We start from the raw sequence: 22,279 nt of genomic DNA on the forward strand, positions 1-22,279 counted from the left end.
CAGTCATGGTGGCAAGTGCCTGTGGTTTCAGCTACTCAGTAGGCTTGTGTGGGAGTATTGCTTGAACCTAAGATATTTAGGCTGAAGTGAGCTGTGTTCATGTCACTGAACTCCAGTCTGGGTGAGAGAGTGAGACCTTGTCTCAAAAAAAAAGTGTTGGAGCACAGAAAATAATACCCCAAAGTATATTGCTTTGGCATGCTGAAAATTTTGAACTAAAAAATATATAAGACCTTAGAAGCTGCCTCAAAACCAAGAACTTTTAAATTTTGTCTCATTTTGTCCTTTCCATATTTACAGAGAGACTCTCTCTGGAATTTTCTTATCTGACTTAAAGAAATATCTTTCTAAAATGAATGCAACTGTCATAAAACATCTGAATCAGGCAGTTCTCATGCTGCTAATAAAGACATACCTGAGACTGGGTAATTTACAAAGAAAAGAGTGTAATTGACTTACAGTTCCACATGGCTTGTGAGGCCTCATAATCATGGTGGAAGGCAAAGGAGAAGCAAAGTGTCATCTTATATGGTGGCAAGCAAGAGAGTTTGTGCAGCAGAATTCCCATTTATAAAACTATCAGTTCTCATAAAACTTATTCACTATCATGAGAATAATATGGGGAAAACACACCCCACCATGATCCAATTATCTCCAGCTGGCCCCTTCCTTGACACATGGGTATTATTATAATTCAAGGTAAGATTTGTGTGGGGACACAGCCAAACTCTATCATTCTGCTTGTGGCCCCTCCCAGATCTCGTGTCCTCACATTTCAAAACCAATCATGCCTTCCCAACAGTCCCCCAAAGTCTTAACTCATTTAACCATTAACACCAAAGTTCACAGTCCAAAGTCTCATCAGAGACAAGGGAAGTCCCTTCTGCCTATGAGCCTGTAAAATCAAAAACAAGTTAGTTACTTCCTAGATACAATGGGGGTACATGCATTGAGTAAATACACTTGTTCCAAATGGGAGAAATTGGCCAAAATGAAAGGGCTACAGGCCTCATGCAAGTCCGAAATCCAAGAGGGTGGTCAAGTATTAAAGCTCTGAAATAATCTCTTTTGACTCCATGTCTCACATCCAGGTCATGCTGATGCAAAAGGTGGGCTCCCACAGTCTTGTGCAGCTCTGACCCTGTGGCTTTTTGGGTACAGCACCCCTCCTGGCTACTTTCATGGGCTGGCATTAAGTGTCTGTGGCTTTTCCAGGTGGATGGTGCAAGCTGTTAGTGGACTCTGTGTGGGGACTCCCACCCCACATTTTTTTCTGCACTGCCCTAGGAGAGATTCCCCATGAAGCCTCCACCCCTGCAGCAAACTTCTGCCTGGACATCCAGGCATTTTCATACATCCTCTGAAATCTAGGTGGAGGTTTCTGAACCTCAATTATTTACTTCTGTGCACTCACAGGCTCAACATGACATGGAAGCTGCCAAGGCTTGGGGTTTGCACCCTCTAAAGCTATGGCTGGAGCTGTACCTTGGCCCCTTTTAGTCAAGGCAGGAGCACCTGGGATGCATGGCACCAAGTCCCAGGTGGGCCCTGAACCTGGCCCAGGAAACCGTTGTTTCCTCCTAGGCCTCTGGGCCTGTGATGGGAGGGGATGCTGCAAAGGTCTCTGACATGCCCTGGCGACATTTTCCCCATTATCTTGGTGATTAGCATTTGGCTCCTTGTAACTTATGCAAATTTCGGCAGCTGGCTTTAATTTCTCCCCAGAAAATGGGTTTTCCCTTTCTATCGAATTGTCAGGCTGCATTAAAAAAAAAAAAAAAAAACTTTTATGCTCTACTTCCTCTTTAGTGCTTTGCTGCTTAGAAATTTCCGCTACCAAATACCCTAAATTATCTCTCCCAAGTTCAAAGTTCCACAAATCACTAGGGCTGGGGCAAAATGTCGTCTGTCTCTTTGCTCAAACATAGCAAGAGTAACCTTTATTCCAGTTCCCAACAAGTTCCTCATCTTCATCTGAGGCCACCTCAACCTGAACTTTATTGTCTATACCACTATCAGCATTTTGGTCAAAGCCATTCAAGAAGTCTCTAGAAAGTGTCAAACTTTCCCACATCTCTCTGTCTTCTGAGCACTCTAAGTCTCTCAGAAGTTCCAAACTTTCCTACATTTTTTATCTTTTTCTGAGCCCTCCAAACTGTTCCAAACTCTGCCTGTTACCCAGTTTCAAAGTATCTTCCACATTTTCGGGTCTCTTTACAGCACCACCCTACTCTACTGTTACCAATTTACTGTATTAGTCTGTTATCATGCTGCTAATAAAGACATACTTGAGTCTGGGTAATTTATAAAGCAAAAAATTTTAATTGGTTCACAGTTCCACATGGCTGAAGAGGCTTCACAGTCATGGTGGAAGGTGAAGGAGGAGCAATGTCACATCTTACATGGTGGCAGGCAAGAGAATTTGTGCAGGGGAACTCCCACTCATAAAACCATCAGTTCTCATGAGACTTATTCACTACCACAAGAAAAGTATGGGAAAAACTGTCTTCATGATTCAATTATCTCCACCAAGCCCCACCCTTGACACATGGGGATTATTACAATTCAAAGTGATATTTGGGTGGGGACACAGCCAAACCATATCAATGTCCTCCCTGGGAAACTCATCAAATAACCAGGAAAAATTAACCACTAGAAAAGAGGAGAGATTAAAAGTCACCACTATGCTCAGATAAAGTTTTCTTCTGTTTTTCTGAGGGCAGCTCCAAGAGGACAGCTCCTGGAAAACTTTATGTACAGAATAAGAAAACGTTTTTTCACAATGCAGTTATTCCCCTCACCTTCTCATAATTTGCCAGCCTTTTTCAGTTTTCTGAAAGAAAGATTTAGCATCTGTCTGCAGGTTCTATTCATTTTTACTAAAAATTATTTACTACCATTCTAAAATTGCCTACATCATCCCACTTCCCTTTTCCCTATGAGGAAGGTAATTAAACCTCAACCATCTGGCTCTTCTTTGAGTCTTGTAGTATATACGGTTCCCATGTTTATGCACATTAATAAATTTGTATTCCTTTTCTCTTATTAATCTGCCAATTCTCAGTTTATTTCAGAGAAACCTGCAGAAAGCAGAGGTGAAGCTTTCCCTCTGCTGCTACAAAAGCTGTAAATGAAGACCATGAAAAAAATTAAGTGTTTCTTTCCTCCACTCCTTAAAAGCTATACACACAGGCCATGAAAAAAAAATCAAGTTGTTGGATGGTTGATTTTTAGTTTGTGTGTGTGCGTGTGTGTGTCTGTGTCTGTGTGTGTTATTAATAACTTAGCTAGGCTATAGTATTCAGTTATTGAATCAAACAAAAATCTAGGGGTTTCTATGAAGGTATTTTGTAGATGTAGTTAACATCTACAATCTGTTCACTTTAAGAAAAGAAGGTACCTTTAATAATGTGGGTGGTTTTATCCACTCAGTTGAAAGGCCTTAAAAGCAAAACCAAAGATTTCCCAGAGAAGAAGAGATTTTGCCTCAAGTCTACATCATAAAGTCCTACCTGAGTTTTTTGTCTATTGTCCTATCCTATAAATTTCAGACTTGCCAGCTTCCAAAATCATGTTAGTGAATTCTTTAAAATTATTCTTTCTCTCTTCATGTATATCATAGAAATAATATATAATAAATATATTGTGTATCAGTATATTAATATATATCTGAGTATATTATATTTTAATATTATATTGATATTAATATAGTATATCAATTTGATATCAATAAGATATGGACAGTGTATATATTGTAAAATGTAATATATGTATATGTGATATATGTATATGTAATGTAAATATAATATGTGTGTGTGTGTGTGTGTGTGCACACACACATAATTTATTCTTTTCCTCTGAAGAAATATGACTGATACAGCTTTTGGTACCAAGAATGGTTCTAGGGGAAAAACATTTTCTAAAAAGTAAGTTTTGTGAAATGGTTATGTGGTTATGGAATTGGTTCTCTAGTATGATTTGATTTAAAAACATTAATGACTGTATTTCTATTAGGAAAGAGAGTGCTGATAGTCCATGATACGTTGTGGTAATATAGATATTCAAAATATCACCAGTTTGATATTGACTCCTAGTCAGATTATTACAAAAAGCAAGTTTCTGAAAGAATGTTTAGTTGATATCTTAGAACATTTTGTCAAACTAATGAATGTAATGAGTGGCTGGTTGCTCCTAGTTATCCTGGAGAATGTGAGAAAAGAAAATGAATAAGCTCAAGAATTAGAATTCCCAGCTCAAGCTCTACAAAAATGAGCTGCAAGTTTCTATGTCTGTCCTGAAAAAGAAACCCTTACCTCTAGTAGCCTTACAGCTGAGACTGCTAAAGGCCAAACCCAGTCTCATCCTGTGCGTGGTAATTACAATAAAAATTTAATTCTCACTTCAAAGGGTGCTGGCCATTAAACTGAGGGCATAGATTGGGAAGGAATGGGATGCTATCCACTAGAATGAAGGCATATGAGTAGAAGCATTTGGGAATATTGAACTCCTGAATTTTGCTGAGTTTTCTTTTCCAGTAGAATCATACTTTTCACCATGTTTGAGAAAGTTAATCCTGCTTTTCCTGAAGACACTCTAATGATCTCCCACGAGGCATTTGCTTGAAAGATATTGCTAATTCTTCTCAGGACCTATATACAATATATATCTTTACTTCTAGACCTATAATTAAGCTGAATTCCCAGCATAAACCAAAGGATGAGGTATAAAGTGTGACACATGAAGACGTGTGCTGCACTCCAAAAGAACTGCATAATTTTTAAAATTTATATAGCTGTTAATATGGATAATATGTGTGAGAGTGAATATTAAGCATGTGGAATAAAGGTAGAAGAAACTTAAAGTAGGATGCGGCTAAAATTATTGAAGGGAGCTCTCTAAGAAGAGATTCTGTATTTAATAATAATGTTGAGAAGGTAGAAAGAGTTCTAACAAACAGTTTGTTTGCTTGGTTTGCTGAAACATGAAACAAAAGGCTACCTACAGGAATAGAAGTTGAAGTACCAGAACAGTCTTGCTATATTGCTAATGAAGGTAACCAAAGGCTTAGGGAGATTAAAATGTTGGAATGGATACAGAAAATATATACAGAAATAGTGATTGCTACCACATCCCCATGCAATTTCTTTTTTTGACTTGTGCAGAAAACATAGATTTCAGAGAATGGCAGTGAATTATTATAAACTTAACCAGGTGGTGAATCCTATTGTACCTGCTGTCCCAGATGTAGTTTCATTGCTTTAATAAAGTAACACATGCCATGGTATCTGGTATGCAGCTATTGATCTGGTATGATAATTAATTTTACATATCAACTTTACTGTACCACGGGGTGCCCAGATTAAACATTATTTCTGAGTGTGTCTATGAGTGCGTTTCTAGATGGGACTAGAATTTGAACTGGTGAAATCAATAAAGTAGATTGTTTTCCCCAGTGTGCATGGGCATTATCCAATATGCTGAGGACCTGAATAAAACAAATAGGGAGAAAAAGGGTAAATTTGTCCCTTTCACTTGATGCTTGCCTGTTTGAGCTGGGACATTGATTTTATAATTTTGAACTAGACTTTATACAGGAACACCTCCCCACACACCCCAGTTCTCAGGCTGCCAAACTTGAATAAAAATTACACTATAGTGACTTTCTTGAGTCTCCTGTTTGCAGATGTTAAATTCTAGAACTTTTCAGCCTTCATAATCATGTGAGCCAATTCCTCTCTTATATATATCCTATTAGTTCTGAAGAACTCTGATTAATACAGATTTTGGTGTGGAGAATGGCTCTAGAGAAACAGAATTTTAAGAATAAGGGCTTTGGATTTGTTTTGTGTTTATGGAATTGGGTCTCTAATGTAATTATATTTAAAGATGCTAATAACTCTACTTCCAGGAGTAAAGAGAGAAACAATAGTCCATGGAGTAAATTATTTACTGAGATACACAAAATATCTGTACTGAATACTCAACAATCAGTCACTTTTAAGGAGCCAGAAGCTAGATGACTCTTTATAGAATACCTTCAAACATGTTTTTAAAAAATTAATTAATATAATGATGTTGGCCTGTTACTCCTAATGTTGCTGAACAAAGTAGTTAAAAAAACGAGCTCAGGGATTTAAATTCCCAGCCCAAGTATTACATAAATAATCAAAAAACTTCTGTGTGTGCCTGAAGGAGATTCTTACTACTTACAGCAGCAGAGCTAAAATTGCTGAAAATCAAATGCAGAATCTCATCCTGTGACAATTGATAAAGTAGAAGACAAGTTGAACTCCAAGCCTTATAAAGTGTGTACTGCAAAAGTGAGACCATTGATCAGGAAATAATGGGATATTATAAATTGAAATACTGTAAGTGTGAGAAAACTCTGATGAATATGGGGTCATTGAGCTCCTAAATTCTTATGAGTCTTCTTTGCCACTGGAAGAGGTCGTGCCACCCCTAGTACAAGAAGCCCCTCCTTTGCAAAAGTGGCTCCTCATCCCCAGTGTAAATAGCCTTCCAAACCCTCAGGAACATTGGCATTCACACTCTCAAGGATATCGGCTTTTCTACCCAGAGTGGTATCTGCCTTTCTACTTCTGTCTGATTGAATTAACCTGGGACTCCTTGAGAAACTGTATTGGCCTCTCCTGAGGAAGTTTCCATTTTAGAAAATGCTGATACTTTTCAGGACCAACCTCCACCATCTCTCTTCTTCTAGATCTGTAACTAGACTCAAGTCCCAGCAGGACTTTAAGGGTGAAGTACAAAATGTGATACATGAAGACGTGCCGTATACTACAAAAAAAAAAAAAAAATGCTGATATGGTTTGGCTGTGTCCCCACCCAAATCTCATCTTGAATTCCCAGTTGTTGTGGGAGGGACTGGGTGGGAGGTAACTAAATCATGAGGGCACATCTTTCTTGTGCCGCTTTTATGATAGTGAATAAGTCTCATGAGATCTGATGGTTTTAAAAAAGGGGAGTTTCCCTGCAAAAGCTCTTTCTGCCTGCTGCCATACATGTAAGATGTGACTTGCTCCTCCTTGCCTTCCACCATGATTGTGAGGCCTCTCCAGCCATGTGGAAGTGTAACTCTACTAAACCTCTTTTTTTTTTTAATGGCACAGTCTCATGTATGTCTTTATCAGCAGCATGAAAACAGACTAATACAGTAAATTGGTACCAGTAGAGTGGGGTGTTGCCAAAAGATACCCAAAAATGTGGAAGTGACTTTGGAACTAGGTGACAATCAGAGACTGAAAAAGTTTGGAGGGCTCAGAAGAAGACAGAAAAGTATGAGAAATTTTGGAACTTCCTAGAGGCTTGTTGAATGGCTTTGACAAAAATGCTGATAGTGATATGAACAATAAGGTCCAGGCTGTGGTGGTCTCAGATGGAGATGGAGATCAGGAACTTGTTGGGAACTGGAACAAAAGTGACTCTTGTTTCAGGAACTTGTTGGGAACTGGAACAAAATTGACTCTTGTTATGTTTTAGCAAAGAGACTGGTGACATTTTGCCCCTGCCCCAGTGATTTGTGGAACTTTGAACTTGAGAGAGATGATTTAGGGTATCTGGTGGAAAAAAATTCTAAGCAGCAAAGCATTCAAGAGGTGACTTGGGGTCGCTTCCAAGATGGCCAAATAGGAACAGCTGCGGTTTACAGCTACCAGCAAGATCGATGCAGAAGATGGGTGATTTCTGCATTTCCAACTGAGGTACCTGTTTCATCTCATTGGGACTGGTTGGACAGTGGGTGCAGCCCATGGAGGGTGAGCCAAAGCAGAGAGGGGCATTGCCTCACCCAGGAAGCGCAAGGGGTTGGGAGATTTTCCTTTCTTAGCCAAGGGAAGCCGTGAGTGTCTATACCTGGAGGAATTGTACACTCCAGTCCAAATACTGCACTTTTCCCACGGTCTTCACAACCTGCCGACCAGGAGGTTCCCTCCTGTGCCTGGCTTGGTGGGTCCCACACCCACAGAGCCTTGCTCACTGCTAGTGCAGCAGTCTGAGATCAACCTGGGATGCTGGAGCTTGGCGGAGGGAGGGGTGCCCACCATTGCTGAGGCTTGAGTAGGCAGTTATATGCTCACAGTGTAAACAAAGTGGCAGGGAAGCTTGAACTGGGCAGAGCCCACCACAGCTCAGCAAGGCCTACTGCCTCTCTAGATTCCACTTCTGAGGCCAGGGCATATCTGAACAAAAGGCAGCAGAGAGCTTCTCCAGACTTAAACATCCCAGCCTGACAGCTCTGAAAAGACCAGTGGTTCCCCCAGCACAGTGTTCGAGCTCTGGTAATGGACAGACTGCCTCCTTAAGTGGGTCCCTGACCCACGTGTAGCCTGACTGGGAGACATCTCCCAGTAGGGGTCAACAGACACCTCATACAGGCAGGTACCTGTCTGGGATGAAGCTTCCAGAGGAAGGATCAGGTGGCAATATTTGCTGTTTTGCAGCCTCTGCTGGTGATACCTAGGCAAACAGGGTCTGGAGTGGACCTCCAGCAAACTCCAACAGACTTGAAGCTGAGGGGCCTGTTAGAAGAAAATCTAATAAACAAAAAGGAATAGCATCAATATCAACAAAAAGGACATCCACATCAAAACTGCATCTGTAGATCACCAACATCAAAGACCAAAGGTAGATAAAACCACAAAGATGGGGAGAAACCAGAGCAGAAAGGCTGAAAATTCCAAAAACCAGAACACCTCTTCTCCTCCAAAGGAACACAACTGCTCGCCAGCAAGGGAACAAAACCGGAAGGGGAATGAGTTTGATGAGTTGACAGAAGTAGGCTTCAGAAGGTCAGTAATAACAAACTCCTCCGAGCTAAAAGAGCATGTTCTAACCCATTGCAAGGAAGCTAAAAACCTTGAGAAAAGGTTAGACTAATGGCTAACTAGAATAACCAGTGTAGAGAAGAGCTTAAATGACCAGATGGACCTGAAAACCACAGTATGAGAACTTCATGAAGCATACACAAGCTTCAATAGCTGATTTGATCAAGCAGACGAAAGGATATCAGTGATAGAAGATCAAATGAATGAAATAAAGAGAGAAGACAAGATTGGAGAAAAGAGTGAAAAGAAATGAACAAAGCCTCCAAGAAATATGGGACTATGTGAAAAGACTAAATCTACATTTGACTGGTGTACCTGAAAGTGACGGGGAGAATAGGCCCAAGTTGGAAAACACTCTGTAGGATATTATCCAGGAGAACTAATCTAACTTAGAAAGGCAGGTCAACATTAAAATTCAGGAAATACAGAGAACACCACAAAATTACTCCTCGAGAAGAGCAACCCCAAGACACATAATTGTCAGATTCACCAAGTTTGGAATGAAGGAAAAAATGTTAAGGGCAGCCAGAAAGAAAGGTCAGGTTACCCACAAATGGAAGCCCATCAGACTAACAGCAGATCTCTCTGCAGAAACCCTACAAGCCAGAAGAGAGTGGGGACCAATATTCAACATTTTCAAAGAAAAGAATTTTCAACCCAGAATTTCATATCTAGCTAAACTAAGCTTCATAAGTGAAGGAGAAATAAAATCCTTTACAGACAAGCAAATGCTGGGAGATTTTGTCACCACCAGGCCTGCCTTGAAAGAACTCCTGAAGGAAGCACTAAACATGGAAAGGAATAGCTGGTACCAGCCACTGCAAAAAACATGCCAAATTTGGAAATTTGACCATTGACGCTATGAAGAAACTGCATCAACTAACGGGCAAAATAACCAGCTAGCATCATAATGACAGGATCAAATTCACGCATAACAATACTAACCTTAAATGTAAATGGGCTAAATGTCCCAATTAGAAGACATAGATTGGCAAATTGCATAAAGAGTCAAGACCCATCACTGTGCTATATTCAACACAGTGTATTCAACACTTTGAACGGGAGACCCATCTCCCGTTCAAAGACACACATAGGCTCAAAATAAAGGGATGGAGGAAGGTCTACCAAGCAAGTGGAAAGCAAAAAAAAAAAAAAAAAAAAAGCAGGGGTTGCAGTCCTAGTCTTGGATAAAAGAGGTTTTAAACCAACAAAGATCAAAAGAGACAAAGAAGGCCATTACATAATGGTAAAGGGATCAATTCAACAAGAAGAGCTAACTATCCTAAATATACATTCACCCAATACAGGAGAACCCAGATTCATAAAGCAAATCCTTTGAGACCTACAAAGAGACTTAGACTCCCACATAATGATGATGGGAGAATTTAATGTCCCACTGTCAATATTAGACTGACCAATGAGACAGAAAATTAACAAGGATATCCAGGACTTGAACTCAGCTCTGGACCAAGTGGACCTAATAGACATCTACAGAACTCTCCACCCCAAATCAACAGAATACACATTGTTCTCAGCACCACATTGTGCTTATTCTAAAATTAACCACATACTTGTAAGTAAAACATTCTTCAGCAAATGTAGAAGAAGAGAAATCACAACAAACTGCCTCTCAGACAACAGTGCAATCAAATTAGAACTCGGGCTTAAGAAACTCACTCAAAACTGCACAACTACAAGGAAACTGAACAACCTACTCCTGAATGACTACTGGATAAATAACAAAATGAAGGCAGAAATAAACATGTTCTTTGAAACTAATGAGAACAAAGACACAATGTACCAGAATCTCTGGGACACATTTAAAGCAGTGTGTAGAGGGAAATTTATAGCACTAAAGGCCTACAAGAGAAAGCAGGAAAGATCTAAAATCAACACCCTAACATCAACATTAAAAGAACTAGAGAAGCCAGAGCAAACAAATTCAAAAGCTACCAGAAGACAAGAAGTAACTAAGATCAGAGCAGAACTGACGGAGATAGAGACACAAAAAACCCTTGAAAAAATCAATGAATGCAGGAGCTGGTTTTTTGAAAAGATCAAGAAAATAGATAGACCACTAGCAAGACTAACAAAGAAGAGAGAGAAGAATCAAATAGACACAATAAAAAATGATAAAGGGATAGCACCACTGATCCCACAGAAATACAATCTACCATCAGAGAATACTATGAACCCCTCTATGCAAATAAACTAGAAAATCTAGAAGAAATGGATAAATTCCTGGACATATACACCCTTCCAAGACTAAACCAGGAATAAGTTTAATCTCTGAATAGATCAATAACAGGTTCTGAAATTGAGGCAATAAAATATCCTACCAACCAAAAAACGTCCAGAACCAGATGGTTTCACAGCTGAATTCTACTGGAGGTACAAAGAGTAGCTGGTTACATGCCTTCTGAAACTATTCCAGTCAATAGAAAAAGAGGGAATCCTCCCTGACTCATTTTATGAAGCCAGCATCATCCTGATACCAAAGCTTGGTGGAGACACAACAAAAAAAAACATAATTTTAGGTCAATACCCCTGAGGAACATCAATGTGAAAATCCTCAGTAAAATACTGGCAAACCTAATCCAGCAGCACATCAAAAAGCTTAACCACCACGATCAAGTCACCTTCATCCCTGGGATGCAAGGCTGGTTCAACATACCCAAATCAATAAATGTAATCCATCACATAAACCAAACCAACGTCAAAAACCATATGATTATCTCAATAGATGCAGAAAAGGCCTTCAACAAAATTCAACAGACTTTCATGCTAAAATCTCTCAATATACTAGGTATTGATGGAACGTATCTCAAAATAATAAGAGCTATTTATGACAAACCCACAGCCAATGTCATACTGAATGGCAGAAACTGGAGCATTCCTTTTGAAAACTGGCGCAAGACAAGGATGCCCTCTCTCACCACTCCTATTCAACATAGTGTTGGAAGTTCTGGCCAGGGAAATCAGGCAGGAGGAAGAAATAAAGGGTATTCAATAGGAAAAGAGGAAGTCAAACCGTCTCTGTTTGCAGATGACATGATTGTACATTTAGAAATCTCTATCGTCTCAGCCCAAAATCTTAAGCTGACAAGCAACTTTAGCAAAGTCTCAGGATATAAAATCAATGTGCAAAAATCACAAGCATTCCTATACACCAAAAACAGACAGAGAGCCAAATCATGAGTGAACTCCCATTCACAATTACTACAAAGAGAATAAAATACTTAGGAATTCAACTTATAAGGGAAGTGAAGGACCTCTTCAAGGAGAACTACAAACCACTGCTCAATGAAATAAAAGAGGACACAAACAAGTGGAAGAACATTCCATGCTCATGGATAGGAAGAATCCATATAGTGAAAATGCCCATGCTGAACAACATAATTTACAGATTCAGTGCTATCCTCATCAAGCTACCACTGGCTTTCTTCACTGAATTGGAAAAAAACTACTTTAAAGTTCAAATGGAACCAAAAAGGAGTCCACATAGCCAAGACACTCCTAAGCAAAAAGAACAAAGCTGGTGGCATCATGCTACCTGACTTCAAACTATATTACAAGGCTACAGTAACCAAAAGCATGGTACTGGTACCAAAACAGATATATAGACCAATGAAACAGAACAGAGCCCTCAGAAATAACACCATACATCTACAGCCATCTGATCTTTACAAACCTGACAAAAACAAGCAATGGGGAATAGATTCCCTATTTAATTAATGGTGCTGAGAAAACTGGCTAGCCATATGTAGAAAGCTGAAACGGGATCCGTTCCTTACAACTTATACAAAAATTAACTCAAGATGGATTAAAGACTTAAATGTAAGACCTAAAACCATAAAAGCCCTGGAAGAAAACTTAGGCAATACCATCCAGAACATAGGCATGGGCAAAGACTTCATAATTAAAACACCAAAAACAATGGCAACAAATCCAAAATTGACAAATGGGATCTAATTAAACTAAAGAGCTTCTGCATAGCAAAATATCATCAAATATCATCAGAGTGAACAAGCAACATACAGAATGGGAGAAAATTTACCCATCTGACAAAGTGCTAATAACCAGAATCTAGAAAGAACTTAAGGAAATTTACAAGAAAAAAACAACCCCATTAAAAAGTGGGTGAAGGATATGAACAGACACTTCTCAACAGAAGACATTTATGTAGCCAACAGACACATGAAAAAATGCTCATCATCACTGGTCATCAGAGAAATGCAAATCAAAACCACAATGAGATACCATATCATGCCGGTTAGAATGGAGATAATTAAAAAGTCAGGAAACAACAGATGCTGGAGAGGATGTGGAGAAATAAGAACACTTTTACACTGCTGGTGGGAGTGTAAATTAGTTCAACCATTGTGCAAGACAGTGTGTCAATTCCTCAGGTATCTAGAACTAGAAATACCATTTGACCCAACGATCCCATTACTGGGTATATACCCAAAGGATTATACACCATGCTACTATAAAGACACACACGTGTATGTTTATTGCAGCACTATTCACAATAGCAAAGACTTGGAACCAACCCAAATGTCCAACAATGATAGACTGGATTAAGAAAATGTGGCACATATATACCATTGAATACTATGCAGCCATAAAAAAGGATGAGTTCATGTCCTTTATAGGGACATGGATGAAACTGGAAACCATCATTCTCAGCAAAATATCACAAAGACAGAAAACCAAACACTGCATGTTCTCACTCATAAGTGGGAGTTGAACAATGAGAACACATGGACACAGGAAGGGGAACATCACACAGTGGGGCCTGTTTGGGGGTGTTGGGCTGAGCGGGGGATAGTGTTAGGAGAAATACCTGATGTAAATGATGCATTGATGGGTGCAGCAAACCACCATGGCACATGTATACCTATGTAACAAAACTGCACATTGTGCACTTGTACCCTAGAACTTTAAATATAATAATAAAAATTAAAAAAATAAAAAAAGAAGTTAAAAAAAAAGAGGTGACTTGAGTGCTGTTTAAAGCATTCAGTTTTAACAGGGAAACAGAGCATAAAAGATTGGAAAATTTGTAGCCTGAAAATGTGATAGAAAAGAAAATCCCATTTTCTCAAGAGAAACTCAAGACAGCTGCAGAAATTTGCATAAGTAATGAGGAGCTGAATATTAGTCACGAAGACAATGGGGAAAATGTCTCCAGGGCATGTCAGAGACCTTTGTGGCAGACCCTCACATCACAGGCTTGGAGGGCTAGGAGGAAATGATGGTTTTGTGAGTGAGGCCCATGACCTCCCTGCTCTGTGCAGCCTAGGGAGTTGGTACCCTGTGTTCCAGCCACTCCAGCCATGGCTAAAAGAGGCCAAGGTACATCTCAGGCTGTTGCTTCAGAGGGTGAAGCCACATGCTTTGGCAGGTTCCATGTGGTGTTGAGCCCATGGGTTCACAGAAGTAAAGAATTGAGGTTTGGGAACCTCCACTTAGATTTCATAGGATGTATGGAAATGGCTGAATGCCCAGGCAGGAATCTGCTGCAGGGGCAGGGCCCTCATGAAGAACCTCTGCTAGGGCAGTGCAGAAGGGAAATGTAGAGCTGAAGACCCCAAACAGAGTCTCTACTGGGGTACTGCCTAGTGGAGCTGTGAAAAGAGGGCCACTGTCCTCCAGACCCCAGAATGCTAGATCCACTGACAGCTTGCACAGTGTGAAAAAGCCACAGATACTCAACAGCAGCCTGTGAAAGCAGCCAGGAAGGAAGTTGTATCCTGCAAAGCCACAGAGGTAGAGATGCCCAAGACCATGGTAATCCACCTCTTGCATCAGTGTGATCTAGATGTGAGACAGGAAGTCAAAGGAGATCATTTTGGAGCTTTAAGATTTGACTGCCTTGCTGGATTTTAGACCTGATTGGGGCGTGTAACTCCTTTGCTTTGGCCAATTTCTCCCATTTGGAATGGCTGTATTTACCTAATTCCTGTACCCTCATTGTATCTAGGAAGTAACCAACTTGCTTTTGATTTTACAGGCTCACAGGTAGAAGGGACTTGCCTTGTTTTGAATGAGAGTTTGAATTGTAGAGTTTTGAGTTAATGCTGAACTGAGTTAAGATTCTGGGGGACTGTTGGGAAGGCATGATGGTTTTAAAATGTGAGGATGTGAGATTTGGGAGGGGACAGGGGTGGAATGATATGGTTGGGCTGTGTCCCGACCCAAATCTCTTTTTGAATTCCCATGTATTGTGGGAGGGACCCAGTGGGAAGTATTTGAATCATGGGGGCAGTTCTTTCCTGTGCTGTTCTCATGATAGTGAATAAGTCTCACAAGATCTGATGATTTTATAAAAGGGGAGACTCCCTACACAAGCTCTTTGTGTCTGCCACCATTCATGTAACACGTGTCTTGCTCCTCCTTGCCTTTCACCATGATTGTGAGGCCCCCCCAACCATGTAGAACTATAAGTCATAATTTTCTTTTGTAAATTGCCCAGTCTCGGGTATGTCTTTGTCAGCAGCATGAAAACAAACTAGTACAATTGCCCACAGCTTTCCTTGGTTTAATACAAAAGAAGAAATCCAAAGACCTAGGGAGATTGGAGTGTTAGTGTGAATTTGTCTTTAGACTTACTCTCACACATTGGGAAGGTTCAGAAGACATGTCTTTTACAAGTACTGTGGGAAATAAATTTGTGAGGGGAGCCTCAGCATCCTAAAGAGTTCTGTGAACAGCTCTGTGATTGTCCTTTGTAGTCCATACTTTCCAATGGGAACTGCAGCCACTAAATTGGGAAACCTAAATTCGATGAGATTAATTAGATCCTGGAATGGCAGTGACCAAGTGGTGGCACTCAACCACCAAAGACAAGGTGGACTTGGTTACAGCCATGGACAGCAGAGTCAAAATAGTAATTAGAATAGTCTGACTTACATAGGCCTATAGCATTAGCTAGTTGATTATGATAGTCTTAGAAGTGAAATAAATTGAAACCCTACTAAATTGTTACTTCATCTGTATAAGCAGAAAAGTTCTAGGTCAAATTAACAAAATTCTAACTTAAACAATAAAAATAGCGAGTTGCAACACCTGAATCAATTCCTAGACTTGAACCAGTTTATAGGCTTAGTATCCCTCGATTAAAGAGAGGCCAGATCTCTTAAAGGAAGAACTCTGGTACACTACCAAAAACATACAGCATTGAGTTTTTTCCCCAGCCTTCCCCAAATGGATCTATGGCATTTTACTAGGGTAAATGTGCTTTGGCAAAAAGGAGGTAATGAAAACTTCAAGAGTTACTGGAAACTGTCTCTGAACTGACACTAACTCCAAGATACACCAAATGTCACTGTAGCCCAGCAGTCAGAGTCAGGGCTTATTGCGGTAAGATGATCAATGTTTTAGCACAGGTTTATCTCACAGTGGGCCTAGTGGTTCCCCAAACCCATCCTGTGGTTATTTCCTCAGCTGCAGAATTCATAATTGGAACATATACACTTAGCAGCTGAAATAATTCCCATACTGGTTCCCTGACCTGTAGCATCAAGGCCATTATGGTAGGAAAGGCCAAGTGGAAGCCACTAAAACTACCTCTACCTAAGAAAGTAGTAATTCAAAAGCAATACCACATCATTGGGTAGATTGCAGAGACTAGTGCCATCATCAAGTGTTTTAAAGATGCAGTTGGCAATCACCGTCTCATCCCCATTCAACTCTCCTATTTGGCCTGTGCAGAAGAAAAATGAATCTTGAAGAAAAACAGTGAATTATAAATTTATTCAACTGTTGACTCTAATTATAGCTGCTCTATCACATGTGGTTTCCCTGCTTGAGCAAATTTAAAAATTCCCTGGTACCCAGTATAAAGCTATTGATCTAGCAAGTGCTTTTTCTCAATCCCTGTCCATAAGGCCAATCAGAAATAGTTTGCTTTAGCTGGAAAGGCCAATAAAGCACATTCACTGTCATATCTCAAGGGTATAACAACTCTTCAGTTCTACGTCATAATTTAGTTCACAGGGATATTGATCTCCTTTCCCATCCACAACATATCACACTCTTTTATTGCATTGATTACATTATGCTGATTGAATCTAGTGAACAAGAAGTAGCAACTATTCTAGACTTATTGGTAAGTATGTCAGTGGGTGATATGAATACAGTGAAAGTTCAGGGGCCTTCCAAATCACTGAAAGTTCTAGGACTCCAGTGGTTTGAGATATATCAAAATATCTCCTCTAAGGTGAAGGGTAAGTTGTTACATCCAGCTCCTTGGTATGGTCTGAATGTTTGCACCCCCACCACTAAATTTATATGTTGAAATCTAATCCCTTATGTAATGGTATTTGTTTTCTCTGTTTTTTTTTTTTTTTTTTTTTTTTTGCAGTGACAGATAAAATCATATGTATTTACCATGTACAACATAATGTTTTGGAGTGTATATACATGTGGAATAACTAAATATAGCTAATAGCTAATTAACATATTCTTACTTCAAATAGTTCTTATTTTTGTGGTGAGAACACTTTACCATGTACAACATAATATTTTGAAGTATATACTTACCATGTACAATATAATGTTTTGAAGTATATATACATTGCCAAATGACTTAATCTAGCTATTTAACATATTCTTACCTCACATAGTTTTCATTGTTGTGGTGAGAACACTTTACATCTTCTCTGTTTGCATTGCTCAGGAATAAAAGATATTAACTGTAGTCACTAAGTTTTACAGTAGGTTTCTTGAACTTATTCCTCTTATCTAACTAAAATTGTGTGTCCTTTGACCATCACTCCCCACCACCACTCCACTCCCTTGTAACTACAATTCTACTTTCTATCTTTATCAGATCAACTTTTTTTAGATTCCACATATGAGTGAAATTATTCAGTATGTGTCTTTCTGTACCTTATGTCACTTAACATAATGTCCTCCAGATCACCCATGTTGTCACAAATGACAAGGTTGCCTTTTTCACAGCTGAATACTACTTCATTCTGTATAAATACTTTTTCATTGTGTGTCAAAATTCCATTTTCTTTACTCATTCATCTATTGATGACCCTAAAATTCATGACCCTAATTCATGACCCTAATAGATGACCCTACTATTTATCATTCATCTTTCGATGGACCCTGATATAGTGGTACAACCTTCCTGTAACCGAAAAAGGGGCACAATGCCTAGTGAACCTCTTTGACTTTTGGAGACAAGACATTTACTGTTTGTGTATATTACTCAAGCCCATTTACTGAGTTACCCACGAAACTACTAGTTTTGTGTGGGACCCAGAACAAGAGAAGGCTCTGCTGTTGTGCAAGCTGATTTGTCACTTGGGTCATATTATCAAGCAGATTTAATGGTGACTGAAGTGTCAGTGGCAGATGGTATGCTGTATGGAGCCTTTGGTAGGCCCATGTAGGTGAATCACAGTGAAAACAACTCTTAGGATTTGGGAGCAAATCCCTGCCAGTTTCTGCCAGTGGATAACTACTCTCCTTTTAAGAAACAGCTTTTGACTTCTTGCTGGGCCTCACTTAAAGAATGAACACGTAACCACGGTCCACCAAATTACCATCTGCCCTCAGCTGCCAATGATAAACTGGGGATAATCTGACCCACTAAACCATAAATTTCAGTGTGCATATCAACATTTCATCATCAAATGGAATTTATATGTTTGTGGGTGCAAACAGGTAAGTTAGATGAAGTGTCCCAAATGCCCATCGTCCCTACTGCTGCTATACTGTCATCTCTCTTTCAGCCTGAATCTATGGTTTCATGGAGAGCTCCCTAAAATCTGTTGACAGAGGAAGAGAAGACTTGAACCTGGTTTACAGATGGTACTGCACAATATGCAGGAACCACATGAAAGCAGGCAGTTGAAGCACTGCAGCCTCTCTCTGGGACATCTCCTAAGAAAAATGAGGGAGCATCCTCCCATCCTCCAGGTGGGCAGAGCTACTGGTGGTGCATCTGTTTTTTCATATGATTGGAAGGAAAAATGGTCAGATGTGCAAATATACACTGATTGCCGGGCTGTGGCCCATGGTTTGGCTGGATGGCAAAAATTTTAGAAGAAACGATTGAAAAATCGGTGACATATAAATCTGGGCAAAAGATATGTGGATAGATATTTTTTCTCTGAATGGGCAAAAAACATGATAATATTTGTGTTTCATGTGAATGCTTATCAAAAGCTGACCTTAGATGAAAAGGATTTTAATAAGCAAGTGGACAGGATAACCCATTCTGTGGATACCAGTTAATGTCTTTTGTCATCCAACTCTGTCATCACACAATGAGCTCAATGAACAAAGTGGCCATGGTAGCAGGGATGGAAATTATTCATTGGTTCAGCAACATGGACTTTCACTCACCAAGGCTTTTATGGTTACAGCAACTGCTGAGTGCCCAATATGAAATCAGCTAAGACTAATATAGAGTTTCCTTTAGCACACCATTCTACGGAGTGATCAGCAAGTTGATTACACTAGTCAGCTTCCGTTATGGAAGAGACAGCATTTTGTTCTTACTGGAATAGATACTTACTCTAGATATTGATTTGTGTTTTTTCAGGCAATGTTTCTGCAAAAACTGCCATTTGTGTACTTATAAAATGCCTTCTCTACCATTATGGTATTCCACACAACATGGCTTCTGATCAAAGAATTCATAATACAACAAAATAAGTGCAACAATAAGCCCATGCTCATGTAACTCAGTGGTCTAAATTCTATTGGTTCTGTTTGTCCAAAGAACCCTGAGTAATACATCTAGTAAATGATTTTTTCATCACCTGTTAGTAAAGACCACAAGAAGTAGTTTACAATATACCTAAACTATCTGATATGGGCTGGATTGTGTTTTCCCAAAATTTATATGTTGAAGCCCTGATCCCCCAGTACCTCAGAGTGTGACTATATTTGGATATAGGGTTTATGAAAGTAAAATGAGGTCATTGGAGTTGGCTCTAATCCCATCTGACTGGTGTCCTTATGAGAAGAGGAAATTTGGATACAATAATAGACATCAAGAATGCACACACACAGAAATAAAGGCCATGTAAGTACACAGCAAAAATGCAACAATTTGCAAGCCAAGAAGAAAGGCCTTAGAGCAAAGCAAACCCACTGACACCTTGATCCTGGGTATTTAGCATCCAGAACTATGAGAAAGTACATATTTTTTGGTTTAAGCCATCCAGTTTCTGTTGTTTTGTTATGGAAGCCCTATCAAGCTAATATACTGTTCTACCTCAGGGTATATCTACTCTCCAGGTCTATATCATAACTTAGTCCTCAGAGACCTTGATCACATTTCCCTTCCAGAAGACAGTGCTGATCGATTACACTGATAATATTATGCTGATTGGGCCTAGTGAACAAGAAGGATCAACTCTTTCAGATTTATTGATAAGCATTTACAAGTCAGAGGGTGAGAAATAAATCCAACAAAAAATTCATGTGCTTTCCAGCTCAGTGAAAAGCACAGTTTAAGATACTTCTACAGTTTCAGATACTTTGTTGTATCTGGCCCATTCTAAACCAAAAAGAGGCACAATGTCTAGTGGACCGGTTTGAATTTTGGAGATAATATATTCACTATTTGGGTGTGTTACTCCAGTTCATTTACCATGTGACCCCAAAAAGCCTGATTGTTTTGGGTGGGCCCCAAAACAAGAGAAGGCTCTGCAGCAGGTCCAGACTGCTGTGCAAACTGCTCTACCACTTGGGCCATGTGACCCAGCAGATCCAATTGTTCTTGAAGTTTCAGTGGCAGATAGAGATGCTGTTTGGAATTTTTGGCAGTCATCTATATCTGAATCACAGCATAGACCTCTGTTAAAGCAATACCCCATTCCTCGTGTGAAGTCTTGCCATCCTTTGTAGATAACTACTCTACTTTTGAGAAGAAGCTTTTGGCTTATTACTGGGGCCTTAGTAGAGAGTAAATGCTTAACCACAGGTCAACAAATTACCATGCAATTTTAGCTGCTTACCAAGAACTGGATATGGTTTAATGCATCAAGCCATAAATGTGGGCATGCACATCAATATGTCCTTATCCAATAGAGGACGTATATACCAATTCAGGCTCAACTATACTCTAAATGAATAAGTAAGTTACATGAAGAAGTTATTCAAACACCTATGGTTTCCCTTCCTGCTACATTATCTTCCCTCTCCCAGCTCATCCTTACGGCTTCATGGAGAGTTCCTTATGATCAGTTGACTGAGGAAATGAAAATGCAGGGCCATTTTACCAATGTTTTAAGGAGATACATATGGAGGCCAAGTTGACATAGGATACTCTGTGGTGCTTAATTTTATGTGTCAATTTGACTAGGGTACAGTCCTCTGTTATTTAACCAAACACGAATCTAACTGTTGTTCTGAAGGATATTTTGTAGATGTGGTTAGCATGTATGATCAGTTCACTCTGAGTAAAGATTACCCTAAAAAATGTGGGTATGCTTTATCTACTCAGCTGAAAGAGCAAAATTAAATTTCCCTGAGGAGAAATTCTCCTTCAAGTCTGTAGTATCAACTCCTGCCTGAGTTTTTTAATTTTTTAATTTTAATTTAAAAATTTTTTTTTTGAGATAGGGTCTTGTTGTGTCGCTCAAGCTGGGCATGATCGTGGTTTACTGCAGCCTCAACCTCCTGGGCTCAAACAATCCTCTTACCTCTGCTTCCTGAGTATCTGCAACTACCATGTCTGGCTAATTTTTCTTTTACTTTTGCATAGAGAAAGGGTCTCACTATGTTGCCCAAGGTGGTCTCAAACTCCTGGGACTCAAGCTATCTTTCCACCTTGTCCTGTCAAAATTCTGCAATTACAGGTATGACTCACTGTGCCTGGCCTTTCCTGCCTGTTTCTAGTCTGCTGGACTTCCCTATAAATTTTATTCTTGCCAGCCTCCACAGTCATATGATCAAATTCCTTAAAATAATTATCTTTCTCTCTAGATAGATATAGACATAGACATAGATATATGAATAGACATCTTCTGCATTCTGTTCCTCTGGAAAACCCTACGTAATTGATACAGGGGATGATAAACAAATTCCAAAAGCTCTGAATTTGTCTACTGCTAACATGTATGATACTATCTAAGCCTCGGTTTAAATCCAATGTGAGCACAAAGGGCTGAAAAACTGCAAGCAATGTCAGTCACCCAACAAGGTCTCAGATTTAGGTGGTCATCTTAGCCTTAGACTTTGATTGGGTCCTTCTTTAATTAATGTAATATCCTAGTTAAATACTAGCTGCTGTAAAAAACAACCCCCCAAATCTCTCAGTGACTTTTTATTTTTTATTTTATTTTATTATTATTATACTTTTAAGTTTTAGGGTACATGTGCACAATGTGCAGGTTAGTTACATATGTATACACGTGCCATGCTGGTGTGCTGCACCCATTAACTCATCATTTAGCATTAGG

General features: G+C 39.5%; 1 long non-coding RNA gene across 1 annotated transcript in view; it reads left to right on the top strand.

Annotated features, from left to right (window-relative positions):
* LOC105373288 (uncharacterized) overlaps positions 1-19,750 on the top strand; it is a 42,537-nt gene extending 22,787 nt beyond the window's left edge. Inside the window, exon 5 of the long non-coding RNA XR_938457.3 lies at positions 18,596-19,750. This is a non-coding gene — a long non-coding RNA (uncharacterized LOC105373288). The remainder of the gene's footprint in view (positions 1-18,595) is intronic.
* Positions 19,751-22,279: the final 2,529 nt, after the last annotated feature.

Source organism: Homo sapiens, chromosome X (assembly GCF_000001405.40).
Source record: "Homo sapiens chromosome X, GRCh38.p14 Primary Assembly".
Taxonomy (NCBI): domain Eukaryota; kingdom Metazoa; phylum Chordata; class Mammalia; order Primates; family Hominidae; genus Homo; species Homo sapiens.